Source organism: Homo sapiens, chromosome 7, assembly GCF_000001405.40.
Source record: "Homo sapiens chromosome 7, GRCh38.p14 Primary Assembly".
NCBI lineage: Eukaryota > Metazoa > Chordata > Mammalia > Primates > Hominidae > Homo > Homo sapiens.
In genome coordinates, this window is record NC_000007.14 from 11,888,965 (window position 1) to 11,908,830 (window position 19,866).

Sequence of the window (19,866 nt, forward strand, 5' to 3'; positions counted from 1 at the left end):
GGGAGTTTCCCTGCACAATTCTCTTCTCTTATCTGCCCCAAAGTGAGACGTGCCTTTCACCTGTTGCCATTACTGTGAGTGAGGTCTCCCCAGCCATGCAGAACTGTAAGTCCAATAAACCTCTTTCTTTCGTAAATTGCCCCGTCTTGGGTATGTCTTTATCAGAAGTGTGAAAATGGACTAATACAGAGGCTAACAAGTAAAAACTAACCAGTATTACTCAAACTTTTTTTCATGTTGAGAACCATGTTTTCAACATAGCAGTTTACTTTTTTTCAAAGACATTTTTTAGTAGTTAATTTTTTTCCCATCTAATATCAAGAGGTCTTGAAGCTTAAAGTTAACATTTTATGGTTTAAAAAAAAGCCCAAAAAATCAGAATGGATGATCCCAGATAATGAGATGGGTCAATTCCACTAGAAAGACACTAAATTTAAATACTGTCATGAAAAGTATCCACACGTAAAAAGCACCCATCAGTTTCAGTAAGAAATTAAGTTACACTGATGACTGTTCTTCCAGTAAATTTCCAAAATAGAATTTTTTTTCAATGTTTTGGAATTACATACACAGTTCTATAATAGCTTGGTCATTTTAAAACCAATCTGGCAATTGTACTAACATACATAGGTGCATGAGACACATGCAACACAGTCCTATGACCCAACACTAAATATATTCTTCTCTAAAAGCACAGGAATAACTATTCACAAGCTTAGCCTTTACAAGAATTTTTGTTTTACTCTAGAAAATCATAAAACATGGGGATCATTTAACTTACAAAATTGCATGTATCCCTTTGCTTTTCATTTCAGGATATATCTTTAATAAAAACATAAAAATTATGGGGATTCAGAGCAGCACAATGAGTGAATAAACAAAGAATTAACATATGAGTAATCTTAATGGAATTAAAACAAGTATACTTTATTGAGTAATGACAAGGACAGAATTAAAGTGTGACAATTGTCTGCAAATATCAGGATGGTTCCCAAGGAAGGATAAGTTCTTTTGCCTACCTTGAGCAAATCTATCTTTGGACAACATCACCAAAATATAATAGAAGATTATTCTAAAAGGTACTACATTTTTTAAATGTGAAATAGTAATAATTTGAAAAGATAGGGTAATCTGGTTAAGAATTAAAATTATACTAGGTGGAGGGTTAAATAATAAATGTATTCATTTTCCTATGACTATAGTTTTAACTCTCATAGTAATAATTTAAACTCTAAACTCTCATTATCTGAATATGAATCTATCACCAGGATCTTTTTAATAGTAAAGAAATTTCTGTGAATTTAAAAGAATTTTGTTGCATGAAATTTAGAGAGAAACTAAAGAATTTTAAATGGAAATATTCTACAGAAAAAAATAAGAATTTTATTTTTGAAAGTGGAAACCATGTTTGGCACTGTAGCTCATTACTGATGACAAATGAATCATAATTAAATTAGTGATAAATCACCAACTGACTTCTATTTGAGTCATGTAGAATATGTCAATTTTTTTTAAATCTTCAACAAAATTGAAACTTTGAAAGAATATGCAGGAGTCTACACTTTTGAATAACTACATTTTAAGACATGTTGCAATAAAGTATTTTCATGTGCGGGAGAATAAAAATGGTGAACATCACCTACCATATATTAGCCTCTGATCTTGAGCACTTCACAGAGGTAACTCATTTTGTGCTCCCAGCAACCTTAAGAGACAGCTGCTTATTATTATAATTTTATATATAAGCACATTGAGACAAAGGAAAGTTGAGTAACTTTCTAAAAGATATAGGAAGAGTCACAGTTAGGATTTATATCTTGCAACTGGGTTCTGGTTCCTAAATGCTCAACCCACTATATCAAACTATATCTTAACAGAATAACTAGAGCCAAATTTACTTTGGACTACCATCAAAATTGAATTCCCATTTAAGTAATTAGACTAAAAACTTTCTGTGAGAAAGTGATGGTATTAGATTGACATTACCTTTTGTCTTTCTGAATGTCATCCGTAGCCAATGAGAAAAATTATACACAGAAAAACTAGCCTTGATAAATTCAAGCCCTAGACACAAACCAGACTGTGGCTTTTGTGACACAAAACCAAAATTCCATATATGTGGTGGCAGTAATTCAATGCTGATTTATTTTGGATGTTTGTCCCCTCCAAAACTCATGTTTAAATGTAATCTCTAATGTTAGAGATGGAGCCTGTTAGGAGGTGATTCGGTCATGGGGCTGGATCCCTTACGAATGGCTTAGTGCTGTCTTAATGACAGTGAGTGAGTTCTGTCTTTGAGTTTATGTGAGATCTGGTCACTTGCAAGTGTGTGGCACCTCCCCCCTTGCTCTCTTACTCCTGCTCTCACCATATGATGTGCCTGATCCTGCTTTGCTTTCCACTGTGAGTAAAAGCTCTCTGAGGCCTCCCCAGAAGCAGAGCAGAGCAGATGTTGGCACCATACTTGTACAGCCTGTAGAATGGTCAGCCAATTAAACCTCTTTATAAATTACCCAGTCTCAGGTATTTCTTTATAATAATTAAAGAAAATTGGTAGTGAAGAGTGGGACATTGCTATAAAGGTACTCGAAAATGAGAAAACAGCTTTGGAACTGGATAATGGGCAGAGGTTGGAAGAGTTTGGAGGGCTCAGAAGAAGACAGGAAGATGATGGAAAGTTTAGAATTTCTTAGAGACTGGTTAAATGGTTATGACCAAAATGCTGATAGAGATGTGGATAGTGAAAGCCAGGCTGATGAGGTTTCAGATGGAAGTGTAAACTTTATAGGGAACTAGAGCAAAGGTCACTCTTGTTATACCCTAACAAAGAACTTAACTGAATTGTGTCCATGTTCTAGGGATCTGTGGAAGTTTGAAGTTAAGAGTGATGACTTAGGGTACCTGGCGGAAGAAACTTCTAAGCAGCAAAGCTTAGATGTGGCCTGGTTGCTTCTAACAGCCTATGATTCAATGCAAGAGCAAAGAAATTACTTAAAGTTGGAACTTATATTTAAAAGGGAAGCACAGCTGAAAGTTTAGAATATCTGCAGCCTAGCCGTGCAGTAGAAAAGAAAAGCTAATTTTCAAGGGAAGAATTCAAGCATGCTGCAGAGCAACCAATTGCTAGAGAGATTTGCATGACTAAAAGGGAGCCAAATGCTAATATCTAAGACAAGGGGGAAAAGGCCTTAAAGGCACTTCAGAGATCTTTGAGGCAGCCCCCTCCCATCATAGGCCCAGAGACCTAGGAGGAAAGAATGGTTTCAGGAACCAGGCCCAAGGTCCTGCTGCCCTGAACAGCCTCAAGACACTGCTCCCCATATCTAGGCTTCTCTAGCTCCAGCCTTAGCTCAAAGGGACCCATATATAGCTTGGGCTGCCCTTCTGGAAGGTGTAAGCCACAAGACTTGGTGGTTTCCACATGGTCTTAAACCTGCAGGTGTACCGAATGAAAGCATAAAGGAAGCTTAGCAGCTTCCCCCTAGATTTCAAACAATGTTATGAGAATGCTTGGATGCCCAGGTAGAAGCTTGCCACAGAAATGTATCTCCAGAGAGAAGCTCTACTAGGGCAATACCAAGGGGAAATGCAGTGTTGGAGCCCCCACAAATTGACCCCACTGGGCCACTGCCTAGTGAAGCTGTGAAAATGGGCCTGCCTCCCTCCAGACACCAGAATAGTAGACCCACCAGCAGTTTGCAGATTGTGCCTAGAGTCCTTGGGTGCTCACCCCTTGTACCAGTGTGTCCTGAATGCACGTTATAAAGTCAAAGGTGATTATTTGGGAGCTTTAAGATTTAATGATCACTCTGTTGGATTTCAGGCTTGTGTGTGGTCTGTTGCCTCTTTCTTTGGACCAATGTCTCCCTTTTAAGATGGGAATATATACCCAGTGTCTATATTCCCATTATATCTTAGAAGTAAATAACAGGCTCATAGGTGAAAGGAATTCATCCTCAGATGAGGCTTGGGACTTTGAACTTTCAATTGTGTTGATGCTAGAACTAGTTAGAACTTTGGGAAACTATTGAAAATGGATGATTATATTTTGCAATGTGAGAAGGACATGTGTCTTGGGGAGCCAGGGGTGAAATAATGTCATTTGGATGTTTGTTCCCTCCAAATCTCATATTTAACTGTAATCTGCAACGTTAGAGGGGAGACCTGGTATGAGGTGTTTGAGTCATGGGATTGGATCCCTCATGAATGGCTTAGTGCTGTCCTCCTGACAGTGAGTGAGTTCTCTCTCTGAGTTCACATGAGATCTGATTATTTAAGAGTGTGTGACATCTCTCCCCTTACTTTTTTGCTCTAATTCTCACCAAGTGACATACCTGCTCCCACTTTGTCTTCTGCCATGAATAAAAGGTCCCTGAGGCCTCCCCAGAAGTGGAACAGAGGCTGTTGCCATGCCTGTACAACCTGCAGAACAATGAGCCAGTTAAATTTATTTTCTTTATAAATTACCCAGCCTTAGATATTTCTTAAGGTATAGTAACACAAAAATGTTTTAATATGGATGCATAGGCTGGAGATGGCTTCAAACATAAGCCATATTTGAAACCACTATTCTAGCCCCATGACATCAGTGCAGAAAGACTTTTAATGTGTGTAAAATTATAATTGCATATATCCATTGGTTTATGATATGGCTAAAAAAATATTTATGTACACACACATACACACACACACAGACACACACACACACACATATATATATATCCATCCCTAGATCATTCACATATATTTCAGTTAGTCTCAAATATTCCCTTTGCCCTCTAGGATTAAAAAGAAAAAAGCCACTTCTTTAACAGACAGATCTGGTTGTGGAAGATGAAGAACACTCACTACAAAACATTACCAAGTAAACTAGCTTCCAGGAGCTGCCATAACACATCTCCAGAAAGTGATTGACTTAAGAAAGAAAAAAATGTATTCTCTCACAGATCTGGAGGCTAAAAGTTCAAGATCAAGGTGTTGGCAGGTCCATGCACCATTGGAAGTTTCTTCAGGGTGCAGTATCTTTCTGGAAAAAGATATTCCCTTATTTCTTCCTAGCTTCTGGTGATTGCAGTCAGTTTTCACATTTCTTGGCTTGCAGCTGTATCACTCCAACTTCTGCCTTGATTGGCACATGGATTTTCTTGATGTGTCCATGTATTCACATAGCCTTCTTATAAGGATACTGGTCATCGCATGTAGAGGCCACCGTAATTCTGTATAATCTCATTTTAATTTAACTTATTACATGTACAAAGACCCTGTTTCCCAATAAACTGACATTCTGAGGTTCTGAGTGGACATGAATTTTTCAGGGACACTATTCAATCCAGGATACCAAGGAATAGATGAAAATTTTGGCCAAAAATTTCAGGAAGTTATAAAATTGAATAAATATATTACTTCCAAGAGCATCAAGCAAAGATACAAAAAATTGGGGAAGAGATGACAAGAAAACAGGAGATAAATATAAATTGAAAGAGATCAGGGAAGATGTGACATTAAAATTAAAACATAACAGAAATTTAGGCAAAATTAGGATGATTCTGACAGAAATAAATAGGAAGTTCTGAAAAGTGGAACATAATATTTACAGGTATATAAATAAATAGAGTCTTAAAATACAAGTCTATTTCTATATTTAGGTAGACAAATTTGATTTTAGAGAAAAAAAAATTGGCTAGAATGGACAGCATGGAAATATATCCTACCTACTAAAGTTATCAGTAGAGAAACTATCATTTGTGCTTCTAGACAGAAGACTAAATAACTCGCAAGGAGAACGTTTTTTAATAGTCTCAGATACTTTCACAATGTCCAAAGACAGTGGAGAAATTTCCACAAATTCCTGACTGAAACAAGGTATGAGCCAAGAATTTGCACACAGGCAACATGGAAGAGTTTTAAATATGTAACAGTGTTGGGAAGACAAAACATTTCCATTTGATCCTCAACTAATAATTAGGCACTAACTCATTTTTATCTGTTTTCCAACCATTTTCTAGCCATTTTCACATCTAGAAAATATTGAGAGTATATTACCAATAAGTAACACTTTATCTATCACCCAAGAGACAATAGATGGATGTGGAATTAAATGTTCACTGAAATGATTCCATTCGTTGCTTGATTTGCCCAGGCAAACATGATTATACCCGCTGTGAAAACAACTATAATTTAGTGTATATCTACAATAGCTATTTGTTTACATACTTATGCTTCCTTCCTACTTTATTAGAACCTTCTTGAGAGCAGGGACTATATTACAGTAGTTGTTTTTCCTTTATCATGGACAGTATACATCTATATATAATAGACCTTTATGAATATTTTTTGAGTTCAATTATTTTTACCAATAGGCAAAGATATTTGCTGCAAGAAGAAACATTTGCTATTTCACTCGAAACAGATTTAAAATAATTTGACATAAGGAAAATAGAAAGGAGAAGTAAAGTACTCAATTTTGGCCTAGGCAAACTGCCCAATTCTAATTAGGCCATGGCCATGTGGGCCTCCCCTTATTTGCATATTTTCTTTAAAGCCCTGGAGGTAACAGAACAGTGATCATGGCAGCCAAGCAAACCATATGGGAACCAGTAGACCACAACTTAATTAGCACTGCAAATTTATGCCAATAGTGTCAGCTTCTATTTTTATATTACTTCATCTTCAGAATCTTTAAGTTTCAGTTAAATTTATCTTTTTGCCTTTGCATTTATCTTTCCTTAAAATATGTGTTAAATAAAATTACAATGATATTTATCAAACAAATGTATTTAAAGTAGAAGCTTAATTTATTATCTATTTAAAGCTTACTTACAAAAAAGCTATCTGGCTGGATAACAATAATGATAATAATTATCTCTAAATCTATTTACTTCACAAGATGCATACCTAAAACAAAATGATCCAACATGGTAAATATTTCAGAAAGAAGAATGTATATAATGAATGACAACAAATATTAAATGCAGATATGCTTCCGGTAAGGAGGGAACTTGGTGATCTTGAGCTTTGAACTGGGAAACCAAAGAATGTATTTTTGTATAGAGCCTTAAAATAGATAATAACAAAGAAAATTTTTTAAATCTCGCCTTCTAAAACTTACTTTATCATTAATATATTTTAAACTTTATTTACTATCAAAATTTAATTTCATATTTAAACAAACCACAGGGGCTTATTGAAACAAGGCATCTGTAATATAATCTTATAATAAATATCAAAATCAAAATGTTAAATAAAGCCTTGACTCTTTAATTTTTATACCATAGTGCATCAACTTTACAGCATTTTAGGGAGATTTAATATATCTTGTTGAATAATTTTACCATTTACTTGACAGATAGGTGATTGATTCAGTGGTAGATTTAGGAGCAAAATTGTAGTCAACTGAGTCTCAGTTCAGTGCTCTCTTCCTAGACTAGAAGGCAAGTGAAATGTCAAAGAACTAGATTCCTTTTACTTCATGTCATTATTTACATCTACATTTCATTAGATAAAAACACCAGAATAAAGCACTGAGACAAAATTCCTAAAACTTATTTAAAATCCGTATTAATAAACATTACCTTAACATGTCCATAGGTGACAATTTAATTTATACAAGAAAAGAAAAGTAATCATAAATACTTTCATTTTTCCTAACTTTACTACTATGTTGTAATGAAAAAAAAAAAATTTGGCACTCCACAGAGAGCAGATAAATTCAATCAGTTGTTAATAGTTTGGAATTTGTAGTCTTCTACTTAAGTTAAAAAATATAAATGAAATGATAAGGTTTTGTCTTTGCTTTTTTTTCCCCTCAATTCTTTGTTGTACCATCTGGCCTGAAATGCTCACAAACACTGCTGTCTGGACAGAGATATGACTAATTATGCAGACACAAAATCCCAAACATTAACAGTCTTCAATAATTTATTGTTACTACCCGAGTCTGCCATTGTTATCTTTTACTTTTTATGAGCTACTTATCTCATTAATCATCTTGACTGTTCTAAACCTAGTTTTAAATATTTTATGCATTTTTATATAAAGACTTTTAAAAAGGTATTATAAATGGTCTTCAGGAAAAAAACACAAAAAATGCCATAAAATTAGTGAACATGGTAAAAAGAAACTGGACATTGGTAGCACTGAAACAATGCTGTTAGATTTATATAATAAATTTTGTTATTACAAAATAAATTATTTTAAACAAATTGGTAAGGATAGAATTGATTTAATATCACAAAATTCTTTTCTCCTTTGTTTTTACTTAGCGTATCTTTAAAATCCCCCCATGACATCATAATAATGACTATGAATACCTAATAAGCAAGCAATTTGTATTATAATAGAATGTTAGAATTCATCAACTTTGATGTTTTGAAATGAAATAATATTAAATGAAATGCAAATTAAGCTATTGCAATATCTGCAGAAAATAGTCATTCAGTTTTAAATTTAGGGCCTCTGGAACCTAAGTATATAAAACTCTGGACTTGTCCATTTCAAATCAATTTTTTAAAAATTATATAACAGCATGCTGTGGTTTCTATTGATCAGGTACTACTAGAGTTCACCACATGTTTATTCTGTGTCTTAATTTCACTTTTGACACTTCATTCTTCAACTCACAAATCTCTGGAGTGAATGATACCAGCAACAGCTTCCTTTGCTCAAAGAAGAAACCTTTGCAAATGGGCCCCAATGGCCCATACAATATTTTCTCACAGACAATGAAAAGCATTAAAGAGAATCAGAATGACAAATTTTGTTCCCAACAGATCCCTAGGTACTTAGACAGAAGTTTTGATGACCAAATAACAAACATAAAGTCCACAATTGCTTCAACAAGCGGGCCCTAGTGGGTAATGTACTTCTAAATATAAACTGATAGCGTGATATAGAATGAGTATTTTGAATTATATTTTGTACTCTTCTTTCATTTATTTGACTTAACTGCTTTGGTATCACTTTTTTAAAAATCAAATAGGGCACATTATCAATGGAGAGTTTACTAGAAGTGAGTAGGAAAGGCAAAATTAATAGATTTTCAGTTTACACACATAAAACACAATTAATGTAAACCTGTTAAAGGTGGCACTAATGTAGCAGTTTATCATTTCTAAAGTTCAAAATAAGCTATTTGAAATCTAGAAAATAAGAAAACAGCTGTCATATTTTGTAAAGCAATATGCAATTTCAAAAAAAATAGATGTGCTTCTCAGCAGTGACTAACAGGGAATTAACTTGAAAATTAAAATCTTTTCATTAAGAAATCGATTTATTTTCTGGCCACTCTCTTGCAGATGTGGGATGAATTGTTTAACACAGATAATAAGTTAAATTAGCAAACTGGCTTTGATGGTTATTTTAAAAAAGATTATTTAGCTTCACCCTCTAGTCAATCTAGAAATTAGATTTGTTACTCAAGAAGGAATTTGTTCTTTGATTGGGAGAGACATTACCCAACCCTTTTCTTACTTTGCATTCTGTCTGTGGAACAGCATGCTCATTTTTAAGTTTTCTATTACCTCTGGATGCTGATAGCACTCAGTTCTACATCCCCCCACCTCTTTCCTCCAGGGCTCATCACATGGGCTATGATGGTAAATAAAATCAATAATTGATTTTAATTTAATTGTTTAATAAATATAAAATTAATAAATGCTTGCTGTTCATGATTATATTCACCAACATCTACTAGAACAAAATATATAATAAATGAATGAATGAATGAATATAAGAAGGGGGAATGGACACTGGTAAATATAAGTAAAAATTATCTCAATACAAATGGCTCATGCCTGTTATAACATTTTGGGAGGCTGAAGCAGCAGGATCACTAGAGTCCAGGAGTTCGAGAGCAGCCTGAGAAACATAGTGAGACCCTGTCTCCAACAAAAATTAATTAATTAATTAAAAGTATACAAAAAATTTTTAAATTTAAATTTGTTACTGCCAGGGATTTAGGGGACCAAGTCATCTTAATTCAATCAGAGATTAAAAAGACTGTACCTGAGCTTCTCTCTCACTGATGGATAGTTTACTTCTTGTTACTATTATTTCTGAGGTGTAATCCCTTGGTTTCTCAATTCAAAACTCAAAATCACAAGGCCCTTCCTTCGAGGAAGTATTTGCATTTGACATTTTTAAAAAACCTGTTATATACATTAATTCTTTTTTGAATATTTGCTATGTTATGTCATTTTGTTTCAGGTATGGATCTTGTGAGTTGAATAAATTTAGAAGTTATTCTCATTATTACTATCTAGTCAGAGAAATTTTTCATATGGAAGTTTAATCCATTTCTATATATTTCTTTTATTTTATATATATACTTGAATTTTTTGCTTTGTATTGTTTTAGCTCTCCTGCTATATATGATTAATGTTTTTTAAAAATTGAGAGGGTATAGTCTCTTTTAAATTATATCACTGTTATCTTTTTAAGTGTCTGAAAATGATTCATTGCTTAAAATATTTACTTTAACTTCAGAGTCAAGGATTAAGTGGTATGTTTTGTTTTTCATTATTAATAAAGAAAATTGGGCAATGTTTCATTCCTTCCATGCCTATTTACTGCATTTTAGGATTCTAAGGCCAAATTATTATTATTATAGTATGATTTATACAACATATGTCTTTTTTACAAAAGTAGCTTTTGATAACTGCATGAAATTTTAGGACTTATTCATAATTCTTGTTTCCATTATTTCCCCTTTTTAGAGTAAATTTGTTTTTCTTATATCTCAGTTTTAAAAACAGGGCTTGCATATTTGAAAATGTCTTTGTTGTCTTCATTCTTTTCTAACAGGTTAAAACTTTTTATTTAAAAAACATACGTATTACTTTATTATTTCCAGGCATTACCTGTAAGTCTTTTATTTCCTGTTATTTTCTGAGAGTGGCAGTCTCTCCCCAGATACAGAAAGATGGTATCTGGGGAAGCAGGAAAGAAATCAAGGATTCTCTTTACCTCAGGAAGTAACTCCAAGAGTTATAGAGGAAATAAGTGCCAAGTTCTCCATTTTGTTCATCTCTAAGTTTCTGAAACAAGGTACAGATTCTGGCAAGAAGGAATGAAAAATCATATCGTTGCTTTTTATCAGGTATTTTGCTTTATAAAGCAAAACTAAAATAAATCATATGCCAAATGTGGCTAAATTACACTTAACACCCTTCCATCTATTCATAATAATAGTCGAGTTTTACCAGAACCTGGCATTAGGTTTTCTGTTCAGTCTTTTCTATCAGATTATCAGTTCACTTACTCCATATCTTCAAGAGTACTTCAATGAGATATTGAGAAAAACTGCAACCAGGCCAGCTAGCTAAAAACTGCTTTGTTTGGATGATTTAGGTAACATTATTTCCAATTAGTTTTTACTATTAATATAAAATGCCAAGAACTTCTACATAGTTAGAAGCCAATTAAAGTATGCCACTTAAAGATGTGGTAAGTTCTTATCACAAGATCTTGATTTAATAACTAGTCAAATCCATATATTTGGCTTCAAATAATTTGTACTAAAAGAACAAGTATTTACATGTAGTATTATTTTTCATTCACGAACTTGCATCATTAGTCTACTCTTTGAGGTTACATCAAAAGAAAAGCAAATGGGACAGGAAGAATGACCAAAGCATAAGAGCACAGCTAGAGTTGTAAACAAAGATATCTCACTCATGATGTATTTCAACATTTTTCATAGTAAAAGAAGAGAACATAATATTGAAGTGCACCTCTAAATTCTCCTTCATAGTTGTCAATATTGGAATTGAAATATTTAATTCAAAACTACCTTGGATAGTAATAAATTGCAGTAATGTATTTCTTTATGGGTGTTTAAATACATTTACTTTTTAACAATATAGATATAAAATAATGTATAAGATTTAATGATTAATCTATGAAATAGAGCAATAGTCATTAAATAGAAATATAAAATAATTTCTAAGATTAAATGATGAATTATAAGATATGTCAAAGCACTTAAGTTGTCCACAGACCTGTTTATCATATAATTTACTTGTCAGGGAAACTGTTCAGATAGATAAAATATTTTTGAATCCAGAAGGTATTAACTATAAGCTATACTGTGCCCACTAAAGAACTATATCATAGTATTATTTTTAGTTTTCAAATTGCATAACAATGAATTTGCACCTAGAATCTAGTGATTCACTAAAAACTTTTGTGTGGATGTTGATGAGAAATCTTTGGTTTAGGACAGGCTATTTTCTTTTAACAATGCATTGAAAATCTGCAGTCAATTCTTAAACTAATTGAAGTATTCATGTGACGTTAAATGCATGGAAAACAAGCAGTTCTAAGAGAAAAGTTTATAGAAACAGACTTCTTGAAATGATATCTCTGATATCTTTTGAAGCTAACACTTTCAAGGAATATTAGTTTCAATATGCACATTAAGCCAGCTTTTGTTACAGCTAAAAGTTTGTTCAATTTAAGTGAGTTTTCAGAATTCTGTAAACCTCATTTCCAAGAGCCTACATCAAAAAAATACAAAGATCTCACATAAGCAGCCTAACATTATACCTCAAAGGACTAGATAAACAGGAACAATCAAAACCTGAATAATTAGAAAAAAAGAAATAATAAACATCAAAGCAAAAATAAACAAAATAGAGACAAAATATAAAAAAATCAACAAAACAATGAGCTATTGTTTTTTCGAAAAGATAAAGAATGCTGACAAACCTTTAGCTAGACCAAGAAAAAAAGAGAGAACAAACAAGTAAATAAAATCAGAGATATAAAAGGAGACACTGCAATGGATACTACAGAAATACAAAGGATAATAAGTGACTACCACAAACAAGTATATCCCAACAAATCAGAAAACCTAGAAGAGATGGATAAATTCCTGGACACAAAAACTTACCAAGATTGAATCATGAAGAAATAAAAAACTTGAGAAGGCCAATGAGTAATGAGAATGAAGAAATAATAAAAAGTGTCTCATCAAAGAAAGCCCAAGACTTGACGGCTTCACTGCTGAATTCTACTAGCCATTTAAAGAAGAATAGCACTTCTACTCAAACTATTTCAAAAAATTGAAAGGAGGGAATACTTCTAAACTTATTCTACAAAGCCAATATTACTCTGATACCAAAACCAGACAAAGATACAACAAAAAAGGAAACTAATGTCCAGTATTCATGATGAACATAGATGAAAAAATCCTCAACAAAATACTAGCAAACTCAATTCAACAGCACATTAAAAATAATCACTCACTGTGATCAAGTGGGATTCATCTCAGAGATGCAGAAAATATTCAACATATGCAAATTAATAAACACAATCACATTACCAAAATCAAGGACAAAAACTACATGATCATTTTAATAGATGCTGGGAGAGCATTTGATAAAATTAAATATACCTTCATGAAAACACTGTCAACGAATTGAGTATAGAAGGAACATACCTCAACATAATAAAGGCCCTATATGAGAAACCCACAGCTAAATCAAATTGAATAGAGAAAAGTTAAAAGCTTTTCCTCTAATATCTAGAACAAAACAAGAATGTCCACTCGTCCCATGTTTATACAACATAACACTGGAAGTTCTAGCAAGAACAATTAAGCAGGAGAAATAAATAAAAGGCATTCAAATTGAATGGAGGAGGTTAAATTGTTCCTGTGTGCAGATAACATTTTCACATATATTAATGTATAGAAAACCCTAAACACTCCACCAAAAAAAATTATTAGAAACAACACAAATTTCTATTCAAAATCAACATAGAAAAATCAGTAGCACTTGAATTTGTCAACAGTAAACTATCTGAAAAAGAAATCCAAAAAGCAATTTTATTTACAATAGCTACAAAAAATACCTAGGAATAAACTTAACTAAGGAGGTGAAAGAGCTCTACAATGAAAACAATAAAACATCGATGAAAGAAATGGAAAAGAACAAAAAAAAAAGGAAGATATCCTATGTTCATGGATTGGAAGAATTAATATTGTCAAAATATTCATATTACAAAAACAGTCTATAGATTCAATGCAATGTTTATCAAAATGCCAATGACATTCTTCACAGAAATAGAAAAAATATTTCAAAATTTATCTAGAAATGCAAAAGACTCCAGCGAGCCAAAGCAATGTTGAACAAAGAGAGCAAAGCCGAAGACATTACATTACCTAACTCCAAAATATACAGAAAAGCTATAGTAAGTAACACAACATAGTACTGGCATAAAAAGAGACATATAGACTAACAGAACAAAAAAGAAAACCCAGAAATCATCCATTTACAGGAAACTGATTTTCAGCAAAGGTGCCAAGGATCCACATTGAGGGAATGGCAGTCTTTTCAATAAATAGTACTGGGAAAACTGAGTATTGACTTATAGAAAAAATAAAACTATATAACTATCTCTCACCCTATGCAAAAATCAACCCTAAATGGATTAAAGACTTCAATGTAAGACCAGAAACTATGAAACTAGTAAAAGAAAACATAAGGAAATTGCTTCATGAAATTGGACAGCAACAATATTTTGAGTAAGGCCTTGAAAGCACAGGCAACAAAATAAAAAATATACAGATGGGATTACACAAAACTAAAATCTTCTGCACAGCAAAGAAAAAAATCAATAGAGTGAAGAGACAACCTACAGAATGGGGGGAAGTATTTGCAAATTATGCATCCAACAAACAATTAATATCCAGAATATGTAAGGAACCCTTAGCAGCGAAAGAAATTCTAATTTTAAACTGGGCAAAAGAACTGAATAGACATTTCTCAAATGAAAGCATGCAAATGGCCAAAAGTTACGTGAAAAAAAATTACACATCACTAATCATTAGGGAAATGGAAATCAAAGCCAAAATGTTGTATAACCTCACCCCAGTTAGAATGATTATCATAAAAAAATAAACAAACAAAACAAAACAAAAAATTACAAAAGCTGGCAAAGATGTGGAGAAAGGGGAACTCTTATGCACTGTTGCTGGGATAGAAATCAGTGCCACCATTATGTGAAACAGTATAGAATTTCCTCATAAAGCTAAAAATGGAACTACCATATAACTCAGCAATCCCATTACTGGGTATATATCCAAAGGAATTGAAATCAGTGTTTCAAATTGATATCTGCACTCCAATGTTTATTGGAGCACTATACACAATAGACAATAAAAATATCAACCTAAATGCCCATCTACTAATGACTGAATGAGGAAAATATAATATACATACACAGTGAAATACTATTCAGTCATAAAACAGAATAAAATCATGTCACTGCAGGCAACATGAATGAACTTGGAGGACATTATGTTAAGTGGAATAAGTCAGACACAGAAAGACAAACACTGCATGATCTCATGCATTTGTGGAATCTAAAAAAGTTGATTTCATAAAAGAGTATTATATTGATTACCAGAGAATTGGGAGGGAGGATTGAGAGAGGATGGTCAATAGATTCAAAGTTACAGCTTGACAGGAAGAATAAGTTCTAGTGTTCTATTATACAGTAAGATGACTATAGCACATGATAATGTAGCGTATATTTGAACATAGCTAGAGGAGAAGGTTTTGATTATCACCACAAAGAAATTATAAATATTTAAAGTAATGAATATAGTAATTAGTCTTATTTGATCATTATACATTGAAACATCATATTGTACCCAACCAATATGTGCAATGATTATGTCACTTACAAATAAAAATTGATTAAAAAAGAAAATAATGCAAATTAAAACTACAAAATAATTTTACATAAAATAATTAGGACTAATAAGGCCCATGTTTCAAAGATTTCATATTTAGATTATAATCCTTTTCCAAATGTAGGGTGTCATTTAAGTTAATCAAATTCTTTCACCAAAAACTTTGCAAACTATCTGTTCTGAAAGACCAGTCTTTTACTTGTCTATCCATTATAGGCCTATAAAAAGTTGATTTCATAGAAGAGTATTATATTGATTACCAGCGAATTGGGAGGGGTAGCAGTGAGGGAGGATGATGAGAGTGAGAGAGAGAAAGAGAGAGAGAGATTGCATCAGCTTGGTTTTAAATAGGAATGCAAATACAGTGATTAAAAATGATCATATGAAACCAAATTCAATGACTAGAACTTTCCTATAAACTATAAGATAGATATGATAAGCCTAGACAAAGATAATAACATTATAAATCCCTTTTGAACCATGTTTATAATGAGAGGACTAGCAAAGGAATAGGTCTGCATTTGGGCCAATAGTATAATGCAGGTTTGAAACACTGGCAGCTTCTGCCCAAATCACTGTCAGATATTGTTAATTGATTTTGCCATTTTCAAATCACTTAGCTACTAACTAGAGATGTGGTTTCTCAGTCTTTGCCCATACAGCCTTCCAGACGGCCACTTCTAATCTATTGGTATTAACATAAAACCAGTTTGCCAAGGAGAGAAATGAAAAACTATGACAAGAATAAGGAGACTAATCTGACTTCTGCTTTGTTTCTGTCTTTACAATTAAATATGTGAACATGAAAGCATATAACATTCTTGTTTAAGTGAAAAGATATACTGGACTAACTAAACTAATATGGATGAACACATAGTTTCTAGCCATATAAGTAATATAAGGGGACACTGTGATCATATAGAAGTGTGATTATAGAAATACAAGACCAACTTTAGACGGGAACAGTCAGGGAAGGTTAAACATAGCATAAACCTGGAAGCACTACTTAAAGAAATTGAAAAGAGCTGGTAAAGAGATTCCAAAGAGCTGGACTCCATGTATGTCACAATGCAGTTAAAACCATGTGAAAAAAGAAAAACTTTATTACAGATTTTTGAATTAGCCAGTATGTGCCAAAAGATTTTAAAAGAGAAATCCTTGGGACAAAAGGCAAAAATGTGGTTTATGGCCAGGTTCTGAGCAGCATATCTTCATTGTTTCCTAATTCCTTTTGGGCCCAAATCCTACAATGAACTAATTTTACTCATATCTTTCCTCCTTTTTACAAATCTTTTCCTCACTGCCATGATGAAGCTTAATGATTTTTTTTTTCAATTGTGAAATGTCAAAGCTATGGGAAGGTAGCATGCCAATTTGCTTTGTGTTTAATTTTCTCTTCAATTTTCTTAGATGGAAGTTATATTACAAATTCTCTCTAAATTGATCTGTAGATTCAACAAAAAATGCAATAGGCTTTTTTGAAAAAGAAATAGAGCAGCTAATTCTAAAATATATACGGAAATATAAAGAATCTAAAAGAGATAAACCAATTCTTACAAAAGAAAAAGACTAAGAGATGTTATTCTTTTCATTTCAAGAATTATTATATATTTACAGTAGTCTACATTGTCTGGTATTGGCCAAAAATAAAGAGTTTAATGGAATGAAGTAGAGTCCAGAAATACAGCCACATACACATCACCATTTTATTTTCAACATAGGTACAAAGCAATTCGATGATGAAATGCTAGCCCTTCAATGCACTGGAACAATTGGTTGACCTATAAGGAAAAACAATAAAAATAAATACTGACTCTTCCTTTAATTGCACCAGTTACAAAATTAACTCAAAGTTTATCATAGACTTTTTAATGACCATAACACTTTTTTAAAGTAGTTACTTTTTAGAATGTTTTGCAACTTAGAGTGTCTCATGTTTTCTCACGAATAGACTCAGGCTATGCATTGTTAAGAAGGATCATGCAAAGGTGATGTCTTCTCACATCACATCAGGAAATATATGAGGTTGATACTTGCTTAAACTGTTACATGCCTCGATTGTCCACTCTATAGTTATTATTTTTTCCTACTTAATTGTTAAATAATTTTGGGGGAGGGAAGGACACTTAGAAACTATGTGCATATTTTGTACCTATTTAAATTTATATCCACTAGTTTTAGCATGCATCAGATGTTGCCTGTGGTAATTATTAATGTAATGTTCTAATTGTGTGATTCTGTTTCCCTCTTCCCAATTCCCTGACAATACCATGGCAGAGCTAGAAAGAGGTACCTTATTACTTCCTGAGGAAGATGAAAGTCTAAAGTTTTTAAGTGGTCCCCAGTGACACTATGGGGTCTTAGTTACTGAATGGTAAAGATGAAAGTCCAAACTTCTTATTTAACATTGTGTGATACCAAGGCAGTCAGAATTGGAGGCACCTTGTTACAACTTGATGAGAGTGTAATCTATGAACTCTACTCAACTTTACTGGCATGGATCAGGGAGGGGACCAAAGTTAATTTTCTGTGGCATTTGGCTTGTGTAGAGAAGTTGTCTAAAAGTTCTCTATTTGGTGAGGCTGTCTCTTTTCTGATCCTTTGGCTAGAGAGGGCTTTTCTTCTTTTGTCTGTGCCCATTGGTATTTCTAGGTTTCCAACTTCTGGTCCTATTTTAGAATATGTAAGGCAAAATGAAAACCCAAGAAATTCACCACCACATAATTTCTTGGGTCAGAGGTACCCTAGTGTGTCTGTGTTCTCTCCACCATTTACAGTTATTTTATATTTGCATTATACATAATGTCCAGAGTTTTTAGTTATACTTCATAAGAAGAATAGGGACATTTATGAGTACTTCACCTTTCTGAAATATAAATTCTCTTTTACCTCTTTTTGTTTGGTTGTTTTCTTATTGTTGAGTTTAGGAACTTCTTCATATGTCTGGACACAAATTTATTTGGTCAGAAATGTGATTTGCAAATATTTTCTTACAGTCTATGGCATATATTTTAATCTTCTGACAGCATCTTTCACAGAGCAAAAGGTTTAAAGTTTGATTAAGTCCAATTTACCAATGTTTTATTTTATAGATTATGCTTTCGTATCTAAAAACCTTTTGCCTAGCAAATAATTGTGTACATTTTCTCCCACGATTTTTTCTCAGAGTTTTATAATTTTTGCATTTTACGTTAAACTCTATTATTTATTTTTTGTTAATTATATATTAGCTTTCAGTATAAGTCATGAATTTCTTGCTCATTGTGTATATAAATGTTCAGTAGCTCTAACATCATTTGTTGACAGGCTTTTATCCATTGAATTGCCTCTGCACCTCTGTCAAAATCAGTTAACTGTATTTATGTGGGTTTATTTCTGAGCTCTCTATTTTGTTCAATTAATGTGTATGTAATCATTACTTACACTGGATTGCCTTGATTACTGTAGTTTTATATTAAATTTTGATATTGGGTAGTGAGTAGTCAAACTTTGTTTTTCTTCAAAATTAATTTTGAAACTCTAGTTCTTTCATCTTTGCACATAAACTTTAGAATAAGCTTACTGACATCTATAAGAAAAAAATTAAGGCTTAAGGCAGGAGGATCACCCGAACCCTGGAAGTCGGGTCTGCAGTGAATTATGTTTGGGTCATGCACTCCAGCCTGGGCAATAGAGCCAGACTCTGTCTCAAAAAAGAAAAAGAAGAAAAAAGTCTGCTGGGGTTTTGATTTGAATTGCATTGAAACTATTTTCAAAGACTTTATTCTTACTTAGAAATCATCGTATCTTCCAATCCATGAGCACTCCATGTATTACCATTTATGTAGATCTTTGATTTTTATAATCAATGATTTGTAGATTTTGGCATATACATTCTGCATGTATTTTGTTAATTTATAAGTACTTTACTTTTTTGACATTATAATTTTTGTCTAAATTTAGAAAGCTTTAATAAGCTTTCTTTGTCACTCCAATCTCCTATAGAGATAACTTGTGCCTAGAGTGGGAATGGCTACCAGAGCAAACATTAGCAATTTTGAATTTTGGTCTTCTCTTTGCCCTGTGCTTAGAGAGGGTCTATATGTTTGCTCTAGTTCTGTCATCCTCTAGCAGTATTCTGAATATGTTAGGTTGGCAGTGGGGAGTGATGTGCCTTGAGAGAAGGGGGA

The 19,866-nt window shown here is 32.9% G+C and overlaps 1 long non-coding RNA gene across 1 annotated transcript in view; it reads right to left on the reverse strand.

Moving 5' to 3' along the window:
• Positions 1-906: 906 nt before the first annotated feature.
• Positions 907-19,866, reverse strand: part of LOC124901589 (uncharacterized) — a 204,867-nt gene continuing 185,907 nt past the window's right edge. Inside the window, exon 2 of the long non-coding RNA XR_007060211.1 lies at positions 907-4,422. This is a non-coding gene — a long non-coding RNA (uncharacterized LOC124901589). The remainder of the gene's footprint in view (positions 4,423-19,866) is intronic.